Raw genomic sequence first — 27,394 nt, 5'->3', positions numbered from 1 at the left:
TCTTCAGTGGAGCTTTTTATCTGCTGTCTCCACAAAGGTCTCTTTCTTCTTTTTCTTGAGGAAAGAGAATTATATCAATTACCAGCCCTGCACTCTGTAGAGTTTGCATTTGGACGTTTAAAAAAAGTGTGCTTTTTAACCTTAGTCTTGTTTTAATCTTTGCTGTCTAGAAATCTTTTTCGTTTTGTTTATTTTTTTATATTTTGGTCCTTTCTAAAGAGATGGGAGGATCAGTGTACTACAAGACTTGCTGGGATCTGACTTAAAATTTCCAGGTTCTTCTTGATTAGAATAAGGAAATATGAGGCAGCTACCTAGATTGGAAATAAAGGGGTTGTGAAATAGATACAATTTTTGTGTAATTGCCCAATAATCTTAACAAACTTAAACTGAAAAACAGTCTTCCTGTTAAACTTAGATCAGGCTTGAACACTCATCTCAGCATTCTTGGGGAGTTTAAGGAACAGAAGAAATGTGGAGAAAGAAACAGGAATTAGCCCAGGACCAGTGGCTCACGCCTGTAATCCCAGCACTTTGGGTGGCTGAGGCAGGAGGATCGCTTGAGGCCAGGAATTGAAGAACAGCCTGAACGACATAGTGTAACTCCATCTCTACAAAAAAAATTTTTTAATTAGCTGGGTTTGGTGGTGCATGCCTGTAGTCCTAGCTACTCAGGAAGCTGAGGTGGGAGGATCAGCTGAGGCCAGGAGGCTGCAGTGAGTTATGATTATGCCATTGCACTTCAGCCTGGGCTACAGAGCAAGACCCTGTCTCTTAAAAGAAAAACAAAACAAAACAAAAAAACACCAGGAAATAGTAAAATCTCAAGTGAGACTCAGAATAATTAAAGATGATGATAATTGAGTATTTTGTATCAGATGTTGTTACCTCATTTAAATTGAGGAATTTGTTTTAATTTAGGAAATTAACTCATTTTATTTAAAGAATTTGTGAGATAGGTGCGACTGTCAGCATCTTATGCTGATTCAGACAGAATAAGAGCAGTGTCTTGACTTTCCGAGGTCTGGCAGGTGGTAGGTGTCAGAGCTGGGCTTCAGGCCCATGCTGTTCAGCACTTCAGCTTTTACTATAGTCTCTGATTACTCCTTAGCCTTCCGTGTCCTTTCATCCCATTTCTTTTTTTTTTTTTTTCTTCTTGAGACGGAGTCTTGCTCTGTTGCCAGGCTGGAGTGCAGTGGCACGATCTCGGCTCACTGCAGCCTCCACCTTCCAGGTTCAAGTGATTCTCCTGTCTCAGCCTCTTGAGGAGCTGGGATACAGGCTCACACCACCTTGCCTGGCTAATTTTTGTATTTTTAGTAGAGATGAGGTTTCACCATGTTGGCCAGGCTCGTCTTGAACTCCTGACCTCAAGTGATCCACGTTCTTCAGCCCCCCCAGAGTGCAGGGATTATAGGCGTGAGCCACTGCGCCTGGTCCTTTCATTCCATTTCTTACTCTTCTTGTGAATAGATGGTTAAGGCCGGGCACAGTGGCTCACGCTTGTAATCCCAGCACTTTGGGAGGCCGAGGTGGGTGTATCACGAGGTCAGGAGTTCGAGACCAGCCTGGCCAACATGGTGAAACCCTGTCTCTACTAAAGATACAAAAAATTAGCCGGGCATGGTGGTGCGTGCCTGTAATCCCAGCTACTCGGAAGGCTGAGGCAGGAGAATCGTCTGAATCTGGGAGGCAGAGATAGCAGTGAGCCAAGATTGCACCACTGCACTCCAGCCTGGGTGACAGGGCGAGACTCTGTCTCAAAAAAAAAATATATATATATATATATATATATATATATCTGTATATGTGGTTGAGTTAGGGTTGGCCAGCCCACCCTCAGGGGTGGTGAGAAAAGCAAGGCTGATGACAGGCTCAGAAGCATGACATAGTCGGGGCTAAGGAAGCAATTGTTTTGGGGGAGGGGAGATAGGGAGGTTAAAAATAAAGACGTAAGGGCTCCCAGTGTTTTTAAGACCCTCTCTTAATGATATCCAAGCATTACCTTTGACATGGCTTTTTATGACTAGAAGAGCTTTACATCTGCGTAATGTTCACTGACTTATTGAATCTCTGCATCTTGTGCAAAATGTTACATTTTACCTTGTCTTTTTTTTTTTTTTTTTTTGAGAGGGAATCTTGCTTTGTCGCTCAGGCTGGAGTGCAGTGGCATGATCTCGGCTCACTGCAGCCTCCACCTCCTGGGTTCAAGCGATTCTTGTGCTTCAGCCTCCCGAGTAGCTGGGATTACAGGCACGCGCCACCACGCCCAGCTAATTTTTGTATTTTTAGTAAAGATGGGGTTTAGCCATGTTGGCCAGGCTGGTCTCGAACTCCTGGCCTCAAGTGATCTGCCTGCCTCGGCCTCCCAAAGTGCTGGGATTACAGGTGTGAGCCACTGTGCCCGGCCATCCTGTCTTGATTTGTATTGTGTTTCATCTGTCAGTGCAGACCCATAGCCTAGGCTGGTGTGTGAGAGTGTAAAGGTATTGTGATTATATAGGAGAAAGTTCTTGTTCTTAGAAGAAATGGACTGAAGGATTTAGGGGTAAAGCTCGTGTTGGCAACTGATTTTCAAATGGTTTAGAAAACATGTTTGTGAGTAGCTGGACGGAGAAGATAAAGCACGTGTGGCAAAATATTAAGAAGGGATTGATCTGGGTGGAGGATCTGGGATGTTCATTGTACTGTTCTTTCAGCTTTACTGTAAGTTTGAAAATCTTCCAAGTAGAAGATTAGGATAAAGGCAATGGAATGGAAACCTGAGGAAGAGCAGAGGCCTGGCCTGGGAGGAGGCCATGCAGCTCATGCAGAGGGGCCCTGCAGGGTGGCGCCACCGCCTCTCAGTGAGCGCTGCCAGAAGGTCACTTTCTCTTCTTTCGCACAGACCTCCTGGTACCCTCTCTGCCTCAGCAATACTCCCAGTCAGTGTAGTCTCCTGGCTCCAAAATTCCTGAGAGAAGGGGAAGCTGTTCACTAAGCAGGGCTCCAGACTGCCAGCTAGCCAGTGGATCGCTGCCTGTAAACCAGATGCTGACCTGTGTGCCCATCAGCTGTGGACTCGGGCCATGAGTGCCACTCGTGGTCATGGAGGCCTGCCCCTGGGTGGAGGCTGTGGGCTGGGGCAGATGGCAGAGCCCCTACCTACAGACAGGTCCAGTATGGTTGGCAGACACGATCTGTGCCCCCATTTTTCTGATTATATGTCATAAATGTTCATCATACAAATGTAGATGATAATGATAAGTATTTGTGAGGCAGTGATACAGAACCTGGGCCGAGGGTCAAGACTGGCTGAGTTCAGATCACCAGCACTTACTCTGTGTCCTTGAATAAATGATGTCAGCAATCTGGGCCTCAGTGTTCTCATCAGTGGAACTGCTGATAATACCAGCTTCATATGGTGGCTGTGAAAATGAAATGAATGAAATGAAGTAATACTTGTATATACCTAAAAGCCTAAAAGAAGCTTAAAGTAACTCCACACTCTGGTGTGTTTCCTTCTGGTCTGTTTTTGCCTCTGATAGTATTAATAGGATTATATAATGTATCCTTTCAAAAATATATAGTTTTATTTTGTTTTCCTCCCAATTAACATTGTATCATGCTTTCTCATATCATATGCTTCTTTGAAACATGAACTTAGAGTGGCAAGGTGTTCTCTGAGATGGACATTCTGCTGTTTTCTCTTTACAGTTTCAGAAGAGGAGCCCCGCCGAGGCATGAGGGCCGTGCTCCCCCCAGAGGAAGGGATGGTTTTCCTGGTCCTGAAGACTTTGGTCCAGAGGAGAATTTTGATGCTTCTGAGGAAGCGGCCCGAGGACGAGATCTCAGAGGTCGAGGTCGGGGTACCCCACGAGGTGAGCGAGTTACTAAAGACACCTGGTCTGGAAGGATAGGGTGCAGAATACACTGGTTGTGAATACACCAGGAACAGTCTGAGTGCAGCATTGTTTGCTCTGTTGTGTAGGAGGAAGGAAGGGTTTACTTCCCACTCCTGACGAGTTCCCTCGCTTTGAAGGAGGGCGGAAGCCAGATTCCTGGGATGGAAACAGAGAGCCTGGTAAGGAAAAGAACCGCTTGTTGGGTAACTCTAGACTGCAGTTCACAAAGTGAGTTCTGAGGGCCCTCTCTGGGGTGCACCGGGTCTCCTCTTTCCAGCTCATGTCTCCCGGGGGGCTGGGCTGTCTCCTGTCCTGCAGCCGCAGCACTTGATCTCAGCAGGTGGAATGCAGAGCAGAGGAATCCGCCAGACATTACAGGGATCTATCTGAGTATAAAACGGGACTGCTCTTTCCACTAAATTGCTTTTGGAGAATAAAGTTAAGTGAATTAAAATTTCCCCAGTCTCAATTGCTAATATGGTAAATATTCGCAGTTACAACTCTCATTAACAAAATCTCTTAGGAGTCCTCAGTAATTTGAGACTGTAAAGACGTCTTGATACTACAATGCCTGAGAACGAGTTCTCTGGATCTTACCTGCCCCTCTTACATGAGGAGGCACCCTGATGTCTGGGTGGCTTACCCTTTGGCCTCTGGCGGGCATTCAGCATGAGTGAACGGTGGCTCTCGAGTTGCTCCTTACTCTCACAGTGTCATTCCCATCTACTTCTGGTCACACTGTGCTTTCCTGTAAGGAGATTTGTTTCTTGTTTCAGGGCCAGGTCATGAACATTTTCGTGATACTCCCCGCCCTGATCATCCCCCTCACGACGGTCATTCCCCAGCCAGCAGAGAACGCTCCTCTTCTCTCCAAGGCATGGACATGGCATCCCTACCTCCCCGAAAGCGCCCCTGGCATGATGGCCCAGGCACTTCTGAGCACAGAGAGATGGAGGCCCCAGGAGGCCCTTCTGAAGACCGAGGAGGCAAAGGTAAGAGCAGGCCAGTGGTTATGGTTCCAGGAGATGCAGGGGCCGATGGAGGCCTTGCCTGTATCTGCTGCACATGCCCTTGCAGCCTGGGCTGTGCAGAGGCACATGCTCCTAAATGTGGTGCCAGTGCCACACGAGCTGTCATCTGGTGGACTGCAACTCAGCCCTGCACAGGACTCCACTTGCCTCCGGGAATCCCTGTTCACTTGAGGTTTTCACTTCAGCCCTCTGCCAAGATGCCCCAGCACTCTCTGCTCGGCTTGCTGTCTGGGAGCCCTGCTCTCCTTGGCAGTCTGCCCTCCACAAGGCTGCTTGGAACCCTCAAGGGCTCTCAGTGGGAGGGGAAGAGTTGTCCTCTCCTGGGTGGTCTGTTGGTTTTTTTAGCCTGGGTCTAGAGGAACACTGCTTGTGCTCAAAGTCACAGAGACTTTGGGAAACATGGTCTATGGGCAGTGTTTCCAGGGGCACAGTAGATTATCTCCTCAACTGGGAACTGTGGAGCTTTATGTTATAGGCAGCACTAACTTTAGCCAGGAGTAGTTGCCTCTGAAGGCTGACTATACAACTCTGGTTGCAAGGCAGCGGGGGAGGTGCATAGGTGGTGTGGCTCGGAAGCTTCTGGGAAGGCTGCTCCCCGCATGCCCCAGCTTGTGCTCTGCTCCTGAAGTTGGCCTGTCTGTATGGACGGTCCTTCCAGTACAGAGTTCTGCCATTTGGTCTTTTTGGGTTTTTTTCTGTCGCCCAGGCTGGAGTGCAGTGGTGTGATCTTGGCTTACTGCAAGCAACCCCCGCCTCCCAGGTTCAAGTGATTCTTGTGCCTCAGTCTCCCCAGTAGCTGGAACTACAGGTGTGCGCCACCATGCTTTTGTGTTTTTAGAGAGATGGGCTTTTGCCATGTTGGCTAGGCTGGTCTCGAACTCCTGGCCTCAAGTGATCCACCTGCCTTGGCCTCTCATGAGCCACCATGCCTGGCCTGCCATTTGATCTTGATAGTTGTTTGTCTCAACAAAACCCTCAGAAATTACCTTATGTATCATCAATAGATCACCCTGCATAAACACATTGTACTACTAGCCAGTGTGCTGTGACCTTGGCTGACTTTCTTGGGCACTCAGCACACCATTATTAGGTCCCTCTGGTCAAGGACATGCAGTTAGCATGGGAATGATGTAGTAGCTGACACTCTGCCCAGGTGCCTCAGGTGGGTTGAAGCTGCACTTTCTAAGAAAAGAAGCCAAGATTGTTCCTTTGGCTGGCTCTCCTAACTTCATCTCAGCTAGATTCATATTCTATTACAAAATATGAGACAGCGGAGAGTTTGCAGTCATCTTCTGAGAGTGCATTATGGGAGATGTGACCAAATCCTATCATTTCCTGAGGAAAAAAATCTTACAAGATAGAATTTTTTTTCCTTTTCCTTTCTTTTTTTTCTTTTTTTTTTTTTTTTAAATATATTCTCAAGCTGCAACAGAATGAAAGAATTTTAATAGTACCTAAACATTTGTGCATACTAGTCTGAAGCAGGTTAAGCTGTGCCTCGGTGATAGAACCTGAAAGCCAGTGTTTTGTGGGGTTTTTGGGTTTTTGTGCTTTTCTTTTGTTTTTTCAAGAAATACTTTATTTTACTAATTATGAAAAGGAAGCCAAAAGTGCCACATGTCACGGGACAGTCCCAGTGAACGCTTGTCCTAGTTGGAGCACTTTTTATTAACATTAGCAGTGTGTACTTCCAAAGTTAAGTCAGTATATTCAAACCTTCCCTCAATATACCCTGGTGGCTGGGAGCAGGCAGATACACTTCCCATGGCCTGGGACATGGCCCAGTGTGGCCCGGGTCTCCCTGAAGGTGCTCCTTGCTCATCTCTTGGCTTCCTGTCGTCTGTCACACAGCCCTGGGGGCATGGATCTGGCTGATGCTGAGGCCCATGGCCATGAGCCAGGAAGGGGGAGGCAGGGTCAGGAAAGGGTAGAGGCACACCTCTCAGTACGCTGAATACCACTGCCAGTCTCCCTGGCACCCACCAGAACTGGTCCATTGTCATCAGAGAGTAAAGTTTGTACTGGGAGTTACTGACAAACAGTTGCTAATACAAAAAGTCCCATGTGAAATTTTCTTTGTTTCAGGCCGAGGGGGCCCAGGACCTGCTCAGAGAGTGCCCAAATCTGGGCGTTCCAGCTCCTTAGACGGAGAGCACCACGATGGATACCACAGAGATGAACCTTTTGGGGGCCCTCCAGGCAGTGGCACCCCTTCTCGAGGGGGCCGGAGTGGCAGTAACTGGGGTAGAGGGAGTAACATGAACTCTGGCCCGCCGAGGCGAGGAGCTTCACGGGGTGGTGGAAGGGGTCGGTAGAAGCTGGAACTGAGTACCCTGAGGCCTCTCTGGACAGTATGTAAGAACTTCTTGTGGACTCACCAAGAGAAACAAAAGGAAGCCTGCACCATTGTAGCCCTGAACTCTTTTCTGGGCACCTGAATCCCAGGAACCCTCAATGAGGTCTTCAAGATGAAGAGACTGCTGCCAGCTACCAGCCTGGCTGGCCCTGTCCTGTCCACCCTCATTGCCCCAACTCCCATGTTGTTTTGTGAAGATAAAAGCTGGGATCTTTTTCTTTTTTTTAAGTCTCACAAGACATGGGGCATCTCCACAAATTTAAGTTCCTGTCCATTTGGAAATTTGTTTCTATGTGTACAGTTTGTCAGAGAAAAACAAAGTTTTTGTATGAATACAGAATGTGATTTACGCAAGAATTGACAGAAAACTAGTTGTGAAGTGCTTGCCTTAAGGAAACCTTTGGTTTCCATCGCATCCCATCTGCCAAGGAATGCACGGTTGTTGCTGATGTTCATGAGCATATTAACCACTAGGTTATCTAAATTAATCTCAGCTGTGAACTTTGTGTTTTTCAACACATTCTGTCACACCATTTTTGTGACAGAAAAATACTTGAAAATTATTCTAATGTAGTTTGTAGTAGGTTCAAATTTTTATTCAGACATGCTCTGACAGATGGAAAATTGTACTCTGAAGAGAAAATGCAATCTTCTGGATGTCCAACGAGGGAGCTTCCCCTTGGAAGCATCTCCTAAGAATCACAGTTTAGGTTTGAATCGCCTTGTTATGATGAGGAGAGGAACTTGATGTTAGTCAGAAATAAAGTCACATGCCCTTTAGATAACTTGAAATCACACATGGAGTTGATAAGGAATGGACCAAAATAGGTCCTCAAACAATTTTGCAACACTTAATTAAGTTTTCCTCTCTTCCTCTTCCATACTATGTGGAAATACCAGTGTTACGGCAGGGCGTACTTCTAACTCACAGTAAGCCAGATAGATCTTGTCCATGGCAAATTCCTTGTTTAAAATAAACATACCATTTAGCCCAGTTTGGATTGGAAGCCAAAAATTCAGTTTGTTATATACCCCATGATACTTTCTATACTGACCTTTATTTTGGTTTTACATGGAAGCTTTTATTAAAAGGACTGTCCTATGGCCACCTTAACATTTCATTACATTGGCAGCTTCAGTTTTGGCATCAGTCAAATTTATTTGGCAAATTTAGTGGTGCTGGAAGTTTCTTTTTTTCTTTTCCTTTTTTGACAGAGTCTTGCTCTGTCACCCAGCCAGGAGTGCAGTGGTGCAATCACGGCTCACTTCAGCTTTGACCCTGCCTCAGCCTCCCTAGTAGCTAGGACTACAGGCATATGCCACCATGCCCAGCTAATTTTTTGTGTGTGTGTTTTTTGTAGAGATGGAGTTTCACCACTTTGTCTATGCTGGTTTCAAACTCCTGGGCTCAAGCGGTCCACCTGCTGTGGCCTCCCAAAGTGCTGGGATTGCAGATCTGAGCCACAGTACCTGGCCGCTGGTGCTGGAAGTTTCAATGGTTGCTTAGAAAAGGCATACTGATATAGTTTAACAGGATATGAAAATTTAACTGGTTCTCTATGAATGTAAAAAACAGCAAAAGCTAATTGATTTCTGTGGAGTGAGAAAATGTCAGCCATATACACTGCTTTTCAGTGTTAGAATCTAGAGACTATTTTTTTTTTAACTTTGAAATTACAGCTTATTTAATCAGCGCTCCACCATAAACATGCTATTAGGAGGCTCAAGATTGCTTTAGGTTATGGGTATTTCTTCACTCACCCCCAACTGGTATAGCTTAAAGAGAGAGAAACTGTAATCAAATTTCATGAAGCTAAAACCGGATCCAGAGACCAAACCCATATCAAGATTAGACTTTTTTTCCCTGAGATTCTAGTGGAAAAATTTTCATTATTTTGGGCTTTAACTTTAGAAACATAGTATCTCAGTAAGCAGATAACCAGATCACATTTAAAAATTTTCATTTTACCTTGAAGCTCTACTGGACTTGACAGATCACATTTTGAGAGTGAATTCATTTAAACAATAAACCTCTACATTATACTTATTAAATATATATGGCATTTAAAAACATCACTGTCAGCATACATACTAGATGTTGTGATTTGAAGCTTATAAAAAGTAGATTTTCAATGATGTTTGATTTGAGAAAAAATTTTTGAGACAAGGTCTCGCTGTTGCCTAGGCTGTGGTGCAGTGGTGTGATCACAGTTCACTGCAGCCTCAACCTCCTGGGCTCAAGTGATCTTCCCACCTCAGCCCCACCCCAAGTAGCTGGGATCACAGTTGTGTGCCACCATATCTGGCAAATTTTTTGAAGATTTTCTGTGGCGATGGGGTTTAACTGTGTTGCCCAGGCTGGTCTTGAACTCCTGGCCTCAAGTGATCCTCCCGCCTTGGCCTCCCAAAATGCTGGGATTACAGGTGTGAGCCACCAGCTGAGAAATGTTGAATTTTTAAGTTTTTATTTAAGAAATAAACATTGTAAAACATCATTATAAAACCCCCAACTATTGCAAGTTCTAGAGAAATTTAAAACTAGAACAGAAATTTAGGGGACTAGAAAGAGCAGCCAATGGCACAAGTCTTTACAATTAATTAAAAAAATAAATCATTCTGAAGATACTGCATTTGCTCTCTCACAAGCAGCCTCCTGAGGTAGGTAACCTTGTTTACTGATGGGGAACAAGGCAGTGTTCTTTACCAAATCTCAGGGCGGGTAGCCTGCAAGCCTACAGTGTGGATGTTGGCCACTTGTGTCACTTCTTGGGACGGGGCTTAGGGACCTGACTTACTTAGGAACATAAATTTTGGGGTTGGAGGAAGCAGCAGTGCTCTACTGCGGCACGACAGACACCCTGTTAAGGCAACACTGGGATCCAGCTCAGGAAAAGCATTACTTTCAAATTGTGCAAGCCAATGCACAGAAAAGTGGTCCTCAAACTTGGGGAACGTAGAATCACTTGGGGAGCTTTAAAAAGGTCCTGATGTCTGGGACCTACTTCCCAGGTTCTGACTGCATTGATCTGAGGTGTGGCTCTTCAAGTAACTGATGTGCAGTCAAGCGCGAGGACCACTGGCACACAATGTTTAAATTCTAAATATATTTTACTTCCTAGTGTATTGCTACTGACAAAACGTAGTTTTCTGGACTCATCAGAATGTTAGGCTCATACCTTCTGGCAATAAATTAAGGTAGTTAAAAGTAACTGCTGAACCTAAAATGAAGGCAGCAGCAATTAGATATAAAAAAATCTTAAGATCAGCCTGCAAATTGTAAACTAGTTTACAAAGCAGGCTATACAATGAGGAATAATTCGAGCTTGTAGAAATCCATGGTTTCCACCAGATACAGGTATTCCGGATCTAGAATTATCTTTCTATTTGCAGGATTTCCGAAGAGACCGTTAAGCATCTACGCGCCCCTTCCTGGATCCCATGCTTCTTGGGGCAGGAAATTTCTTTTGGTCCGTCGCTTTCGTCGTGAAATACACAACTAATTTTCCTTTCATGTTATAAGGCACCATATTTATGATTTTGTTAACTGAAGAAAAAACCCGAGATAAACCATCTTAAGTACTTTTAAAAGTCCAGTGGCTGAATTCGGTGTTTAATCTGATACCCTTCTGGATTCGCTGACACTGGAGAGAATAATTTCCAAGTCTTAGTATAGCCAAAACAAAAAACTACCGTCGCTAAGCTACATCTACCACTGGATTTTAAAATGACAAAACAGCCTGAGAAAAATCACAAGAGCAGCTAACTCGAAGAAAAATCCTTTTTCTTTACTCAGCCGAACCTAAGACCACAGTTACTTCGAAAGCAACTTCTAATAACCGTCTCACATCCTGTCACCAGTTCAATGACAAAATCTCAGTTTTCAGAGCGTGTGCCAAGTCCAGCACAAAAAGCTGACATCGAGGAGCTCCCAACGCTGCTGTCGCCTCCGCTGGCAGCAGCCGCTCCCGGATTAGACTCGCAGGCTGTTAGGGCAGGGCCTTCGCCACGGGCTTCCGCACAGCGGCGTGCAGTCCTCAGCTCGGCCGGCGCGGTCTCCGACGGCGCTGGCTCCGCGTACTTCCCCAGCGGCGAGGGCGCGAGGTCCTCACACGGGCAGCACCTTGGCGAGGCCGGCGCCGCGGCCCAGGCGACCCAGTGCGAGGCGCAGCGCGGTGCCGCCGCCCCAGGGCAGCAGCCCAACCAGCGCGGCCAGCAGCGCGGCCACCTGCGCGCCCGCGCCCAGCACCGTGAGCAGCGTGCTGCGAAGGCCCAGCGCGGCGAACAGCGTGGCGCCCAGCGCTGCCATGTAGAGCAGCGCGGGCCGGGACGGCGCTTCTTCGCAGCGCAGCAGGCGTCCGCACGCCGCGCCGCCCCGCAGCAGCGCGCTTCCCGCCAACGCCAGCGCCGAGCCCAGTGACCAGAGCAGCGCGAACTTGCGCGCGCGCAGCAGCAACACCGGTGCGTAGAGCGCGGCTAGGCCGAAACACAGTGCAGCCAGCAGCAGGCACCCGCCGCCCGCCGCCAGCCGCTGCCCGCGCGTCACGCTCGGGAGGCACGTCAGGCCGGCCGCTGCCGACTCCGCAGGGCTCCGCGCCCACGTCCAGCGCAAGCCCGCGCGGCCCAGCCACTCCTCCGCCGGCCGGTCCCCGGGCTCCTCCGCCTTCTCCGCGGCGAGCAGCGGCTCCGCGGCCGCCGGGCCGCCAGCTTTCCCCTGCGCCAGGTACTCCTGCAGCTGGCGGTGGAGGTCCGCCATCTTGGACAAGGCGGTGGCAGAAAGGAAAAGCTGCGGCTCACTTCCGGCCCTCCGCTGAAGCGGTTCGGTCTTCGGGCGGCAATTGGTCGGCGACGGCGAAAGGGGCAGGGCCTGCGGCGCTCGCGGAAGTGCCGCGGTGCCTGCTCTGCGGACTTTTGTGGTGTCCCCAAGTACCGTGGTCGCAGGTGCTGCCTGTCCGCTTGCAGTCGCCCTCCCAGCGCCTGACCCTCTTCCTTGTTCGGAGTAGGCGCCCTTGCGGTCTGGCTAAGTCCTGCCAGCATTAATAGTTGGAAGGCAGGGGTGGGTGTGGTTCTAAAGGGGCACAAGAAGTGACCCTTTTGCTGACGGAAATGTCTTATGGCCTCACTGCGTCTACCGTGGCGGTGATATTGTGCTAGTTTTGCAACATGGAGGAATGGGTAAAGGGTACACAGAATCTCTCTTGTTTCTTACAACTGAACACAAACAGTGATCTCAAAATAAAAATTTAATTTTTAAAAAAGTTCAGACCTGTGTAACTCAGGTGGGTTTTTTGGGGAAAGTTGCGTTCTGATTAGTTACCTCACTTGTAGTAATAGTGACCATCCTGATCATTTACCATGGGGTTGATAAAGGAAGGGTTGACACCCAGCACCCTCAACCTGCTTCTCTATTCTGTTCTCAGTTTCGGCCACAGGCCTGGCAACATCCTTGACTCCTTCGCGCCCCTTGTCCAAGACTCGGTGCTGCTGTCCCATGTGTTTGGTGTCACTCTCGTGCTCTGGACAGCGCCACGCCCAGGTGTCCTGACTCATCGTCACATCACTGTGACAAGCTGGCTCGCACGCAGGTCAATCCTGATCTGTTCCCAGGCCGCACCCACGTGCCCTGCTGTTTCTCAGAGCCTCCTAGAGGGTGTTTGCTTGTGGTTCCTCTCACAGGTCAGATTCCTCCAGATTCTTCCAGCTGCCTCCACAGCTCCCCTCACCACCTTGGCTTCCCCTGGGTGGCCCTGTGTCCTTTGTCCTCTGCCCTAGGTGGATGTAAGGTTAACGGCTTCCTGCTGTTTGGCTTCTCAGCCTTTCCATCCCCTGTGTGTAACTAATCTCCCCCATTAAGTTCCTTTTAATGCTTTCTGTTTTCTTGGTTGGATCCTGGCAGATGCAATTCTTTTTCAAAATATATTCTGATTTGTTATCTCACTTGATAATAATAGTGACCAGCCTGATCACTTAGCATGGGCTAAACCATTAGGATGGCTACAATCAAAACAAAAAAACAAAAACACACCAGAAAGTTACAAGTGCTGTCAAGGATGTGGAGAAACTAGAAGCCTTGTGCACCGTTGGTGGGAATGTAAAATGCTATATCCGCTGTGGAAAACAGTATGGAAGTTACTATAAAAAAAAAATATATATATATATATATACACACACACACACACAGACACATATAAACGTATATACACACATATTTGTATACAGTTATGTGTGTATGTGTGTATATAATTACAATCCAATCCAGCAGTTCCACTCTGGATATATACCCCAAAGAATTGAAAGCAGGGTCTCAGAGATTTGTATAACTCTTCACAGCAGAACTATTCATGTCAGTCAAGAGATGGAAGCAACCCAAGTGTCCACCAGCAGATCAATAAAATGTGATATATGCATACAACGGACTGTTACGCAGCCTTAAAAAGGAAGGAGATTCTGACACATGCTACGACATGGATGAACCTTGAGGACATTAGGCTGAGGGAAATAAGCCAGTCACAAAAAGGACCAATACTGCATGATTCCACTTCTGTGAGGTACTTAGAGTAGTCAAATACACAGAGCTAGAAAGTGGACTGGGTGCATAAATGCCCATCAGTGATGTTACCTAATCATTTATGCAGCTACCGTATAGAAAAGGCAGGAGTGTGCTGCTCATTTTATAGGTGAGGGAAGCTGAGAAATACCAAGAAGTGAGGTAACCTACTCAAGGTCACCTACAAAACTGACGATAGGGCAGCGTTAGGTTGTGATTCCTGGTTTCTAACCTTGTGGGCTTCCCATTGCAGAAAGAGGCCTTCACTGAGGGTCCCTCTGTGTGAGCCCTGGATGCGCTTTCTGCTGTGGTTTGGTTGCAGGGAGGGAAGGTCATTAACAAAACCCACTCTCCTCTAGCACTGCAGCAAAACTCATCCTAACAATCATCTTCACTTGCTTCCCTGTCTCCCTTGAAGCCCTTCAACCAGGCCTTCGTTCCACCGTGCCAGCAAAATTGTTCATTACAAAATCGCCAGACGCTGTCGGCTAGTGCGGTGAGTTTCGGCCCTCAGCCCCAGGACGGCACCGTGGGCTCCTCTCTTGACTGTTCCTCCTCCTGAGACCTCAGCGTTGTTGCGCCTGGGATATCCCCTCTTTTCTCTCTCGGCACCCTCTGGCCCAGCCCGTGTTGTTAAAACCCTCTGCGTGCAGAGCGTCCCCCACTTCTCCACCGGGCATCTAATAGACACCCTGGAGGTGACATGCAGAACCAAACACTTCACTCCTGACTTCCCCTCCTCATCCCCCAAAACCTGTAGCTAACCCCTCCTTCCGCACCTCAAGAAATCGCACCCCATCAGCAAGTCCCACCAGCTCTACCTTGGAAACAGATCCAGTACCAGCCGATTCTCTCCTCCACCACTAACCCCACATCTGGGCGCCCCCCTGCACCCCACCACGGAGCCCCTGTTTTGGTCCATGCTTTCCTCACGGTTGTTCACACATCGGCCTGAGGGACCTTTGTCCACTGAGTCAGATGATGTCACTCCCCCAGTGCTCCCCACCTCACACTCACAGAAGCAACTTCCTCACCTCGCCCACGCTGCCCTGTGGAATGGCCGGGACCTGTCTGCCTCTACTCCCCTGCTTTCTCCCCACTCCATGCCAGTCTATGACTGGTGGCCTTTGGGTTGTTTCTGGATCTGTCAAACATGTTCCCACTTCGGTGCCTTTGTCCTTGCTGTTCTCGGCCTAGAGCATTCCTCCTCACCCCAAATATCTTCACAGCGCCCTCCCTCATTCCTTCAGGTCTCTACTTCAATGTCACTTTTCAAAATGTCTTTCCCTGACTTCCCCGAAGCAGCAGCTCCCATCACCCTCCACCCTTTCCACTCACAAGCATAATGGACGGTAGCACACTCGTTTCCTGGGTGGTCTAAGAACAGGCAAATGCCTTTCTGAGCCCTCCCTCCCTCCCGATCCTTCATTTTGAGCCTGTCCTTCCTTCTGGGCTCCATTCACAGTGGACGTTGATGTGGATGGAGATGCAAAGGACCCAGACTCACACACATGCAGCAGGGCCCTGAAAGGATTTTTTTTTTAATTTCTTGTTCTGAAACCCTATTTCTCTGTGGTACTCGATGGCCTTGTCCCCACGGGGAGAAGCCTGGCTTTTCAGGAGCTTTAGATTTCACCGTGTCAGCACCAGGCAGGGCCTGGCCTCAGCTCTCGCAGCCACCGCATCTGCACATCCTGGGCAGGGGCTCTTCAGATGCCCGCGTCCTCCCTTCCAGTATTGTTGGACTTTAGCATAAGGTCAGGCAGGTCCCAGCTCCCACCTCCCCAAGGGGAAGGGGCCACAGCCAGCCTTTTCTTCTGCCGAGGTCTTTCACCTTGACCTGAGGAAGCAGCACCCTTCGCACCAAATCCTCTCCCACTTGCAGGAAATTATATTTTCTCCCAGAGCCCAGCAAGTGTTATCCACGCTTCTTTTGAGGGCTTTCCAGAGTGGCGTCTGCCTCCCTTCCCTGTCTGTCATGGCCCTCTCTGTTCAGCTGGGTTTACTTGTCCCCTGCCGGGCCGCAACCTGAACTACATTCTCCCTTCCTTCAGTGTGGCGGGTCAGCTAGCGCCAACCACCCCCTCATTTTTGAGACAGGATCTTGCTCTGCTGCCCAGGCTGGAATGCAATGGTGCGATCTTGGCTCACTGCAAACTCCGCCTCCCGGGTTCAAGCGATTCTCCCACCTCAGCCTCTGGAGTAGCTGAGATTACAGGCGCCTGCCTGTAGACGGGGTTTCCACAGATGGTGCAGGTGGTCTCCAACTTCAGAGCTCAAGTGATCCGCCCACCTCAGCCTCCCAAAGTGCTGGGATTACAGGCATGAGCTACCGCACCAGGCCCACCAGTGCCCCCTTTCAAAACTGAAATCTAGTAATGTCCTCTTTATCTACTATTCTTCAGTGGCTCCTTATTTCCTACAGATTAAATTCTAATTCCCTGCCTGCCACCCAGCCTTCTAGGCCCTGCCTTACGCCCCTGTGGCTCTCCCCGATGCTCTGTGGGGTCCCTCTGGACCTAGCAGTTTGGAGACTCCCTTCTTCTGTGGCTTTGCTGAGCCTGGGCTCTCTGCTGGGTGGACCTCTGTCTACTGCTCCTTCCCCTCCCTCTCCCAAGCATCCCCTTCCTCCAGGTCAGTCCTCAGGGCCCACACAGCCCTGTCACTGACTGGTGACATTGCCAATGCCTTGAGGAGTTTTGTTATCAAACAAATGGGCTCACTGCTCAAGGCACAGCGAAACCAGTAACACTGGCAGCAGCTTTTGAGAAAAGAAAGGTTTCATTGCAAAACTGACAAGCAAGGAGGCAGGAGTGGGGCTCAAATCTGTCTCCCCAGTTTGAGGTCTGGGGTAAGCTTTAAGGGATCAGAGGGCAAGGGAAGTGATTGAGCAGTGTTGGCTTGGCAGGGTCTGATTGGCGGGCTTCAAATTTAACGATTTATGGAAAGGTTTGTCAAGGTAGATTTGGGCCCCAGTCTCCCAGGCTGACGCATCCCTGCTTCTGAAAGATTTCCATGTTCAGGTTCCAGTCCTGTCCTGGTCTTCTTTGTTCCGAGGGGAGGAGTCATTGGTTCTGGGTATTGTTAGAGGTCAAAGCTTGTTCCATTGTGCATGCCTGGGCAACATGGCTTGCAGTTTTGGCTCTGTTGTACCTACAAAGCAATGCGACATTCTGTCATCAACAAGGTAGGCCCAGTATGCGCTGGTCTCGCAGTTATAGTTTCTTCTTTTATTTACTAATTTTTAAAAGAATACCTAACTGCTTGCGTGGTGATGGTCTTCTCAAGTCTCATTTCTTTGAGTCCTGCTTCCCAGCCCCTGTCACTGTCTTCATTGCCTTGGCTTTTCCGGGTGACCTCAAGTTGGGTGGCTCAGGCTTTGTGGCAAATGTTGGCTCACCAGGCTGATTCATCATGGCTCAGTCACTGTCTGGGTTGGTCGCCTGGCCCTGGTGATCTTCCTCAGGCACAGTGCCAAAGCACTTGCCACAAAATGATGTCTCCTGTCCCCCCGACCTTGGGGCAGCAGAGCCTCTCCGTGGCCACTGGCTCATAGAGCTTCTGCACTGAGGGAGGTGCTCCGGCCAAGGCAGTGACCAGCAGCCACATGTAGCCTCTGCACCTGCGGGGCAGCTGAGGAACTGAATTTTAAATTTTAATTAACTTTAGTTAATTCATTATTTATATTGAATTATATTTAAAACATCATAATGTACCCACATTATTATATGTAACATACATAATATACTATTAATATATATTTATCATAGCCACATGTAGCTACTGTATTCCCACTGCCCCTCTGGAGCCTGTCAGAGATAGGGGGCGCAGTTGGCATTGTCACCACGCTGCCTGCACTTGAGTGCGAGCGGGTGCCCAGGGAGCGCTGGCGGCGCTCGCGTGCTGCTGGGGATGGGCAGACTCCTCGAGGGGCGCGGGCGAACGGTCGGGCTCTTGGACGTGGGGGGGCAGCGGCGTGCGGGGCCCTCCCCCGGTTTTCTCCTTACGCGTCCTGGGGAAACTGAGGACGCAGACGCCCTCCCACAGGAGCGTCTGAGCCAGGGCGCCTCCCAGGATGCCTCGCTGTCCCTCAGGCCTTCGTAGCGTCGGCTTGTCCAGTTGGCACCGCCCGTCCCGCTCTCTGGGGGCCCTGGCACCTCGGCCCCGCGCGGGCCTGTCCCGGGACCCCGCCGGCCGCGGGCCGCTCTCACGTGCTTTTGGCTGCAGCCCTACCCCGCTAGATTAGATTTAAAATCGCTAAAGGGGCCCTGTTCTGATAGCCTTAGAGATAAATAAGCACCTTATATAAATGGAATAGTCCCGAATTTTTCAGAAGTTGGGGAAATGTAACTTCTAATATGTTAATGGTCAAAAAGGAAAATTATTTTCATAAAAACTGACTCAGAAATGTTTTAAGAATTCAAAATCTTGTTATTTAGACAAATGTGACTGGGTTAATATTTTTGGCTTAATAAAAACAGCTATGGGCCAGGCGCAGTGACTCACGCCTGTAATCTCAGCACTTTGGGAGGCTGAAGCCAGCAGGTCATGAGCCCAGGAGTTCAAGACCAGCCTGGCCAACATGATGAAACCCCGTCTCTACAAAAATACAAGAAATTAGCCGGGCACAGTGGCGCGCGCCTGTGGTCCCAGCTTCTGCAGAGGCTGAGGCGAGAGGGTTGCTTGAGCTGGGGAAGTCAAGGCTGCAGTGAGCCTAGATCTTAACCACTGCACTTCAGCCTGGGCGACAGAGGGAGACCCTAAATCAAAAAAAAAAAAAAAAAAAAAGGAAAGAAAAAACTCATTTAGAAAGGGCTAATTTCTGTACAATTATTTTCCTTCTCTGTTGATTTTAAATAAACATTTAAATACTTTATTGTCATGGCCAGATGCAGTGGCTCACGCCTGTAATCCCAGCACTTTGGGAGGCCGAGGTGGGCGGATCACGAGGTCAAGAGATCAAGACCATCCTGGCCAACATGCGGAAACCCTGTCTCTACCAAAAATACAAGAATTAGCTGGGCGTGGTGGTGCGCGCCTGTAGTCCCAGCTACTCCGGAGGCTGAGGCAGGAGAATCCCTTGAACCAAGGAGGTGGAGGTTGCAGTGAGCTGAGATCGCGCCACTGCACTCCAGCTTGGCGACAGAGCGAGACTCAGTCTAAAACAAAAACAAAGACAAAAAAACCAGAAATTATTGTCAGTTTGAAATGAATAGCCAAATAGTTTCTCATGATTTGACTTCTATTTTAAGTGGTTAAATCTCTTGATAACTTTGCTTTTTGCCTTCCCAATATTGAGTCCTAATGTAAAATAAAATAAGATAAAATTCCCCAGGTTTTGCCTGGAACGTCATTTTTGAGAATGGCATTCATTTGGGATAGCTTTGATGTCTAAACACTCTTTGAATTTCCCAGAGGGTCCCTGAAAGCACTTGTTGTCTTGTTGTCTATTCTTTGAAAATGAGGTTAATAAGGGCCGGGCGCAGTGACTCACGCCTGTAATCCCAGCACTTTGGGAGGCCGAGGTGGGCGGATCACAAGGTCAGGAGTTCGAGGCCAGCCTGGCAAATATGGTGAAATCCGGTCTCCACTAAAAATACAAAAAAATTTGCTGGGCGTGGTGGTGCATGCCTGTAATCCCAGCTACTTGGGAGGCTGAGGCAGGAGAATTGCTTGAACCCAGGAGGCAGAGGCTGCAGTGAGGTGAGATTGCGCCACTGCGCTCCAGCCTGGGCGACAGAGCGAGACTCCATCTCAAAAAAAAAATGAGGTTAATCATGTTTATAATTATTTTGTCAAAAAATTTTGACTTTATTATCTCATTTTGCAGGATGCAGAAACAACCATATTTCCTTGTCAGTTGCACTATTGTTGTAATGAACTGTCATCTAGTCTTTTGTATTTGAATATTATCTGGCTAGATAAGGAATTCCCCCTTTCTATTTTTCTCATAAGTTATCTATAATTCATAACAATTTAGTAGACTATACTTTTGTAAACAGAAATGAACTGTTTGTAAAGTGATTTCTTCATGCCTGACCCTTCTAGAATTCAAAACGCTTACTGAGTATTCTTATTTTCATGGAAATGGAAGTTATTGTCATAAATTCAGTAAGAATATGTCCTTCTTGTTAATGGGAAATAGTTGGAAACATTGAAGATACAACCAAGGCCTTGTCTGGAATGTCATACTTGAGGATGATGCTCATTTAATCATATATGACCAGACACTTTTAAGGAGCTAAGGTTGACTTTATGGAGCCAACACTTACAAAGCCCTCTTGGAAAAACCAGCCTGGTATCTGGCTTACAGTGTTCCCAGAATTATAAGTGAGTAAGGAAGGTCGACCTTCCTTACTTTCCTTTCCTGGCCAACCCAGGAAACTTAGGATATTTTGGGAACCCTTCTAAGAGAGGAATTTGCTCAAATCTATAGATACTGCCAGTGAGATCTGGTGTTGAGTTCTTAAGTTGGCTTCTTGGCCTCAGTGGTTTTTAAAATTTCACTCCTTATGCAAAATCCTAATAAAGCAAACTCAGAAGGCCTATGGTAAATGGCCATTCTTGCTGTACCTATAAAAATAACCAGGCCAAATCTAATCAGACTAACTTTGTCTGATGTGGTGTGTGTATGGTGGTAGGGGACCGGGGGCGGGGGGTCGATAATAAGCTTTCTTTGAGGTTATTCTTATCAAAATGAGGGAGATTGAAGAAAAATACTTGTGTTTCAATGGAAAGCTATGCACACTTCCTAGCACATTTTTCTAGGTTACAGTTTCTAGCCTTGTTCATTGTATTTAATCTACTTTACCTCTTTGTAAATCACAAGTAACTGATGCATATGTAAACACTCCCTTGTCTGGTAGAGATTCTTCCTCAATGTAGCAGAATAGATTTTGACACCTAGCTGCTAATAGGACTGGATCCTGCTACTTTGCCCATACTGTCAATCATTACCAAATTTTTCATTCTTCCTGTTTCCATTAATATCTGGTTATGGCTAAGTGTGGTGGCTCATGCCTGTAATTCCAGCACTTCAGGAGGCCGAAGTGAGAGGATTGCTTGAGGCCTGTAGTTTGAGAACAGACTGGGAGACACAGTGAGACCTTGTCTTTACAAAAAAATATAATTAGCCAGGTGTGGTGATACACACCTGTAGCCCTAGCTACTTGGTAGGCTGAGGTGGAAGGATTGCTTGAGTCCAGGAATTCAAGACTGCAGTGAGCTATGATTGCACCACTGCACTCTAGCCTGAGCAATAGAATGAAACCCTGTCTCTTAAAAAAAAAAAAAAAACTAAATGAAGATTAAATGACAATGTCTCATTGGAGAGTATCAATAAAGGAGTAGAAATTATAAAAATGAACCAAATAAAAAATTCTGGAGATGAAAAGTACAATAAACAAAATGAAAAGGCCAGGAGTGGTGGCTCACATCTGTAATCCTGGCACTCTGGGAGGCTAAGGCAGGAGGATTGCTTGAGCCCAGAAGTTCGAGAACAGCCTGGGCAACATAGTGAGACCTCACCTCTAAAACAAAACAAAACAAAAACAAAATGAAAAATTCACTGGATAGGATAAACAGTAGATTTGAGTTGGCAGAGAAAAGAATCAGTGAACTTGACACATCAGTAGAAATAATGCAATCTGAAAAATAGAGAAAAATATGAAGAAAAATGAGCAGAGCATCAGAGCAATATGGGACACCACTAAGTGCACCAGCATATTGATATGGTTTAGCTTTGTGTCCCCACCCAACTCTTATATCAAATTGTAATCCACGATGTTGGAAGTGGGGCCTGGTGGGAAGTGATTGGATCATGGGGGTGGTTTCCAATGATTTAGCATCCCCCTTGGTTGTGATAGTGAGTGTGTTTTTGTGAGATCTTGTCATTTAAAAGTGTGTAGCACCTCCCCCCTCCCTGTTTCTTCCTCCTGCACTGGCCATGTAAGACATGCCTGTTCCCCATTTGCACTCTGCCATGATTGTAAGTTTTCTGAGGCCTCCCCAGAAGCTGAGCAGATGCTGCCATGCTTCCTGTACAGCCTGCAGGACCATGAGCCAATTAAACCTCTCTTCTTTATAAATTACCCAGTCTCTGGAATTTCTTTATAGCTATGCAAGAATGGACTAATATAGAAAATTGGTACTGAGGAGTGGGACATTGCTATAAAAATACCTGAAAATGTGGAAGTGACTTTGGAACTGGGTAATGAGCAGAGGTTGGAAGAGTTTGGAGGGCTCAGAAGAAGACAGGAAGATGAGGGGAAATTTGGAACTCCCTACGGACTGGTTAAATGGTTGTGACCAAAATGCTGATAGTAATATGGATAGTGAAGGCCAGGGTGAGGAGGTCTCAGATGGAAATAAGGAACTTAATGGGAACTGGAGCAAAGATAACCTTTGTTACATATTCGCAACAGAACCTGGTGGTGTTGTGCCCCTGCCCTAGGGATCTGTGGCACTCTGAACTTGAGAGTGATGATTTAGGGTATCTGGTGGAAGAAATTTTTAAGCTGCAAAGTGTTTACGGATTGGCCTGGCTGCTTCTAACAACCTACGCTCATATGTGTGAGCAAAGAAATGACCTGAACCTGGAACTTATATTTAAAAGGGAAGCAGAGTGTAAAAGTTTGGAAAATTTGTAGCCTGGCCATGTGGTAGAAAAGAAAAGCTAATTTTCGGGGGAGGAATTCAAGCAGGCTGCAGAAATTTGCATAAGTAAAGAGGAGCCCAAGTGCTAATAGCCAAGACAATGGGGAAAAGGTCTAGAAGGCATTTCAGAGACCTTCGTGGCAGCCCCTCCCAGCACAGGCCTGGATGCTTCAGAGGACTGAATGGTTTTCTAGGTCAGGCCCAGGGCCCTGCTGCCCTGCACAGCCTTGAGACTCTACTCCCTGCATCCCAGCTGCTCCAGCTCCAGCTGGCTGAAAGGGGCCCTGGCCACTGTTTCAGAGGGTGCAAGCCATTAAACTTGGCAACTTTCATGTGGTGTTAAGCCTGCAGGTGCACAGAATGCAAGAGTTTAGGCTTGGGAGCCTCTGCCTAAATTTCAGAGGATGTATGGAAATGCCTGGATGTTCAGGCAGAAACCTGCTGCAGGGGCAAAGCCCTCATACAGAACCTCTACTAAGGCAGTGTGGAAATGTGGGGTTGGAGCCCCCACACAGACTCCCCACTGGGGGACTACCTAGTGGAGCTGTGAGATGAGGACCTCTGTCTTCCAGACCTCAGAATGGTAGATCCACTGGCTGCTTGCATCCTGCACCTGGAAAAGCCACAGGCACTCAAGACCATCCCTTGAGAGCAGCCATGTGGGCTGAACCCTGCAAAGCCACAGGGGGAGAGCTTCCCAAGGCCTTGGGAGCCCAGCTCTCACACTAGTGTCCCCTGGATGTGGGGCATGGTGTCAAATGAGATTATTTTGGACCTTTAAGATTGAACGACTACCCTGCTGGGTTTTGAACTTGCATGGGGCCTGAAGCCCCTTTCTTTTGGCTGATTTCTCCCTTTTGGAATGGGAGTATTTAACCAATGACTGTACCCCCATTGGAAGTAACTAACTTGTTTTTGATTTTACAGGCTCATAGGTGGAAGGAACTTGCCTTGTCTCAGATGAGATTTTGGACTTTTGAGTTAATGCTGGAATAAGTTAACACTTTGTGAGACTGCATGATTATATTTTGAAATATCAGAAGGACATGAGATTTGGGAGGGGCCGGCGGCAAAATGATATGGTTTGTGTCCCCACCCAAATCTCGTGTTAAATTATAATTCCCAGTGTTAGAGGTGGGGCCTGGTGGGAGGTGACTGGATCATGGGGGCAGTTTCCAGTGGTTTAGCACCATCCTCCTTAGTCATAATAGTGAGTTCTCATAAAATCTGGTCATTTACAAGTCTGGGCCAGGCACAGTGACTCACACCTGTAATCCCAGCACTTTGGGGGGCTAAGGGGGGGCAGATCACCTGAGGCCAGGAGTTCAAGACCAGCCTGGCCAACATGGTGAAACCCTGTCTTTACTAAAAACACAAAAATTAGTTGAGTATGGTGGTGGGTGCCTGTAATCCCAGCTACTTGGAAGGCTGAGGCAGGAGAATTACTTGAACCTGGGAGGCAGAGGTTGCAGTGAGCAGAGATTGCACCACTGCACTCCAGCCTAGGCCAGAGTGAGACTCCAGCTCAAAAAAAAAAAAAAAAGTAGCACCTCCCTGCTCCTTCTCTTTTCCTTCTGCTCTGGCCATGTAAGATGTGCCTGTTTCTCCTTCACCTTCTGCCATGAGTATAAGTTTCCTAAGGCCTCCCCAGAAGCCAAGCAGATGCTGCCACACTTCCTGTACAGCCTGCAGAACTGTGAGCCAATTAAATCTCCTTTCTTTATAAATTACCCAGTCTCAGGTATTTCTTTATAGCAATGTAAAAATGGACTAATACACATAAGAATAATGGAGAGAAGTGAGAGAAAGGGACATAAAAATTATTAGAAGGCACAATGGCTGAAAATTTCCCCAAATTATTTGCTTATTTATTTAAAATTTATTAATATTATCATGTTTATAGAAAGAGTCTTGCTCTGTCACCCAGCCTGGAAGGCAGTGGCACAAGCATAGCTCACTCTAACTTTGACTCCCTGGGCTCAAGCATTCTTCCTGCCTCAACCTCCCAAGTAGCTAGGACTACAGGCATGCACCCCAATGCTCAGCTAATTTTCAAGTTTTTTGTAAAGACAGGGTCTTGCTGTATTTCCTAGGCTGGTCTTGAACTCCTAGCCTCAAATGATCATCCCACTTCAGCCTCCTAAAGTCCTGAGCTTACTCATCACCTAAAGGCAAGAGCCACTGTGCCTGACCAATTTCCCCAACTTTGATGAAAAACATTATTCTAAACATCTGAGAAACAATGAATTTCAAGTAGGATGAACACAAAGGCATTCACACTCAGACATATTATAGTCAAATTTTGAAAGCCAAAGATAAAGATAAAATCTTAAATGCAGCAAAAGGAATACAATTCATTGTGTACCAGTAGTACAATAATATTGACAAATGATGTCTCATCAGAAGCAATGGGGGCTAGAAAGCCGTGGTATGACATGTTCAAAGTGCTTAACAGTAAAAACAAAACAACAACAAAAAACCTGTTAACCAATAATTCCATACCCAACAAAACTATCTTTCAACAATAATGGCAAAATAAAAAGCACTCCAAAATAAATAAAATCTGACTGAATTTATTGCTACCAGTCCTGAGTAACAAGAAATATTTAAGGTTTTTCAGATAGAAAGCAAGTGACACCAGAAACTAATTTGAATCCACATGAAAAACAAAAGTGTTGGTAAAAGTAGATAATTACAATATAAAGTATAATTGCATATTTCTTCTTCTCCTCTTAACTGATCTAAAAAGTAATTGCATAAGAAAATATGCATGTAACTTTTTATGGGCTATGCACATATAGGAATGTAATATGTGTCAACATTTTGTCAAAATGTTATTTAACAGTAACAGCACAAAGGAGATGGATGAAAAATTACAGCCAACATCTCTTATGAATATACACAAAAATCCTCAACTAATTACTAGCAGCCTAATCCAGCAACATATACAAAGGATTATATACCACATTGAAGTGGGATTTATCCCAGGAATGCAAGGTTGGTATAATATATTAACATCAATCACTGTAATACACTACATTAATACACTGAAGGACAAAACTCATATGGACATTTCAACAGACATAGAAAAAGCATTTGACAAAATTCACCACTATTTTTTTTTTTTTTGAGATGGAGTCTCACTCTGTCATCCAGGCTGGAGTGCAGTGGCACGATCTTGGCTCACTGCAACCTCTGCCTCCCAGGTTCAAGCGATCATCATGCTTTAGCCTCCCGAGTAGCTGGGACTACAAGCATGCGCCACCATGCCCAGCTAATTTTTGTATTTTTAGTAGAGATGGGGTTTCACCATGTTGGCCAGGCTGGTCTCAAACTCTTGACCTTGTGATCTGCCTGCCTTGGCCACCCAAAGTGCTGAGATTATAGACATGAGCCACCATGCCTGGCCCACCACTCTTTCATGATAAAACAAACAAATGAAAACAAGAACAGAAGAGGACTTCTACCAACAATGGAAGAGAGCTTCCTCCTCAACACTGTAAAGGGGTTTATGAAAAACCCACAGCTAAAATCATATATATATATTTTGAGACAAAGTCTCACTCTGTAGCCCAGGCTTGGAGTGCAGTGTTGCTATCCTGGCTCACTGCAGCCTTGACTTCCTGGGCCCAAGTGATCCTCCCCCCTCAGCCTCCGAAGTAGCTGGGACTACAGACAGGCGCATGCCACCATGCTTTGCTAATTTTTTTTTTTTTTTAATTTTTGTAGAGACAGGATCTCCTTATGTTGCCTATGCTGGTCTTGAACTCCCGGACTCAAGTAATCCTTCTGCCTCGGCTTCCGAAAGTGCTGAGATTACAGGTGTGAGTCACCATGTGTGTCCTAAAATCATGTTTAATGATGAAAGACTGTATGCTTTCAGCCTATGATCAGGAAGATGACAAGGATGTCTGCTCTTTCCACTTCTGGTTTCTAGCCAGGGACAATAGGCAAGAAAAAGAAAAGGCATCAAGACTGGAAGAAATGAAGTAACACTACCCTCTATTTGCAGATGACATGGTCTTGTGTATAGAATAGTCTAAGGAATTTCCAAGAAAGCTCTGGAATTAACAAGTACAGTAGGATTTTAGGATACAAGATTAATATGCAAAATTTATTTGTGTTTCTATATGCCAGCAGTCATAATCTGAAAAGGAAATTAAGAGAACAATTGCATTTGCAATCATATCAAAAGGAGTAAAATACTTAGGAATAATTTATCTAAATGAGCACAAGACTTACACACACTGAAAACCACAAAACATTGTTCAGTAGAATTAAGGAAGATCTAAATAAATGGAAAGACATCCTATGTTAATGGATAAGAACACTCCTTATAGTCACACTCACTCCCGTACTGCAACCATTCCCAGTCTCTGGCAACCACTAATCTATTTGTCATCTCTATAATTTTGTCATTTGAAGGATATTATATGAGTAGAATCATACAGTATGTGATCTTTGCAGGTTGCTTTTTTTCACTCAGCATAATGCCCTTGAGATATATCCGAGTCGTTGCGTGTATCTTACCCTGCCTTGTTATGTAAGCTTTGAATATTTTTTAGAATTCCGTTTTTACTTATCTATACTGTTTTGGGGGTATATCTCTTTGTATAGGTTTTTTTGTGGTTGTTCTAAAAAGCCATACATATATAACTTATGCACAGCCTACTGGTGGCAGCATATTACCAGTTCAAATAAAGTGTAGAAAACTTACCTCCTGTTAATTCCCTGTATTAGTCAGGAGTCTCCAGAGAAATGGAACCAATAAGATATGCATATATATAAATACAAAAGGAGATTTATCATGAGGAATTGGCTTGTATGACTATGGAGGCCAAGATGTCCCATGATCTGCCACCTGCAAGGGGAAAATTCAAGAAAGATGGTATAATTCAGGCTGAGTCAGAAAGGCTGAGAACCA

At 46.5% G+C, this 27,394-nt stretch overlaps 2 protein-coding genes across 4 annotated transcripts in view, besides 6 other annotated features; one reads left to right on the top strand and one right to left on the bottom strand.

The window, feature by feature from the left end:
- WDR33 (WD repeat domain 33) overlaps positions 1-12,526 on the top strand; it is a 110,145-nt gene extending 97,619 nt beyond the window's left edge. For all 3 annotated transcript variants that reach the window (XM_005263697.4, NM_018383.5, XM_011511436.2), the window contains 4 exons: positions 3,697-3,860; positions 3,971-4,063; positions 4,661-4,876; positions 7,001-12,526. In XM_005263697.4, coding sequence (XP_005263754.1) covers positions 3,697-3,860; positions 3,971-4,063; positions 4,661-4,876; positions 7,001-7,060 — 533 coding nt within the window. In that variant the 3' untranslated portion in view covers positions 7,061-12,526. The remainder of the gene's footprint in view (positions 1-3,696; positions 3,861-3,970; positions 4,064-4,660; positions 4,877-7,000) is intronic.
- Positions 8,311-12,056, bottom strand: SFT2D3 (SFT2 domain containing 3). The gene has a single exon (NM_032740.4). It carries the CDS (start codon positions 12,022-12,024, stop codon positions 11,377-11,379), a length of 648 nt encoding a protein of 215 aa, NP_116129.3. The 5' UTR covers positions 12,025-12,056; the 3' UTR covers positions 8,311-11,376.
- Positions 11,298-11,977: a silencer, noted in NCBI's record as "silent region_11936". NCBI's record gives its function as "represses an Ori minimal core promoter by ATAC-STARR-seq in GM12878 lymphoblastoid cells {active_cell/tissue: GM12878}" and the evidence as "EXISTENCE:reporter gene assay evidence [ECO:0000049][PMID:35858748]".
- Positions 12,297-12,818: an enhancer, noted in NCBI's record as "H3K27ac-H3K4me1 hESC enhancer chr2:128458309-128458830 (GRCh37/hg19 assembly coordinates)". NCBI's record gives its function as "activates a minimal SCP1, AML or CMV promoter by ChIP-STARR-seq in naive and primed H9 embryonic stem cells {active_cell/tissue: H9 hESC(naive and primed)}" and the evidence as "EXISTENCE:reporter gene assay evidence [ECO:0000049][PMID:30033119]".
- Positions 12,297-13,534: a biological region, named in NCBI's record as "BRD4-independent group 4 enhancer GRCh37_chr2:128457593-128458792".
- Positions 12,335-13,534: an enhancer, noted in NCBI's record as "BRD4-independent group 4 enhancer chr2:128457593-128458792 (GRCh37/hg19 assembly coordinates)". NCBI's record gives its function as "activates an origin of replication core promoter dependent on BRD2, P300/CBP, MED14 and CDK7 cofactors, and independent of BRD4, by STARR-seq in HCT116 cells {active_cell/tissue: HCT116}" and the evidence as "EXISTENCE:reporter gene assay evidence [ECO:0000049][PMID:35650434]".
- Positions 12,738-13,107: an enhancer, noted in NCBI's record as "active region_16501". NCBI's record gives its function as "activates an Ori minimal core promoter by ATAC-STARR-seq in GM12878 lymphoblastoid cells {active_cell/tissue: GM12878}" and the evidence as "EXISTENCE:reporter gene assay evidence [ECO:0000049][PMID:35858748]".
- Positions 12,819-13,340: an enhancer, noted in NCBI's record as "NANOG-H3K4me1 hESC enhancer chr2:128457787-128458308 (GRCh37/hg19 assembly coordinates)". NCBI's record gives its function as "activates a minimal SCP1, AML or CMV promoter by ChIP-STARR-seq in naive and primed H9 embryonic stem cells {active_cell/tissue: H9 hESC(naive and primed)}" and the evidence as "EXISTENCE:reporter gene assay evidence [ECO:0000049][PMID:30033119]".

This window comes from Homo sapiens, chromosome 2, assembly GCF_000001405.40.
Source record: "Homo sapiens chromosome 2, GRCh38.p14 Primary Assembly".
Lineage (NCBI taxonomy): Eukaryota > Metazoa > Chordata > Mammalia > Primates > Hominidae > Homo > Homo sapiens.
Note: the sequence above shows the minus strand (reverse complement) of the source record. Positions and strands in the feature narration are given on the sequence as shown.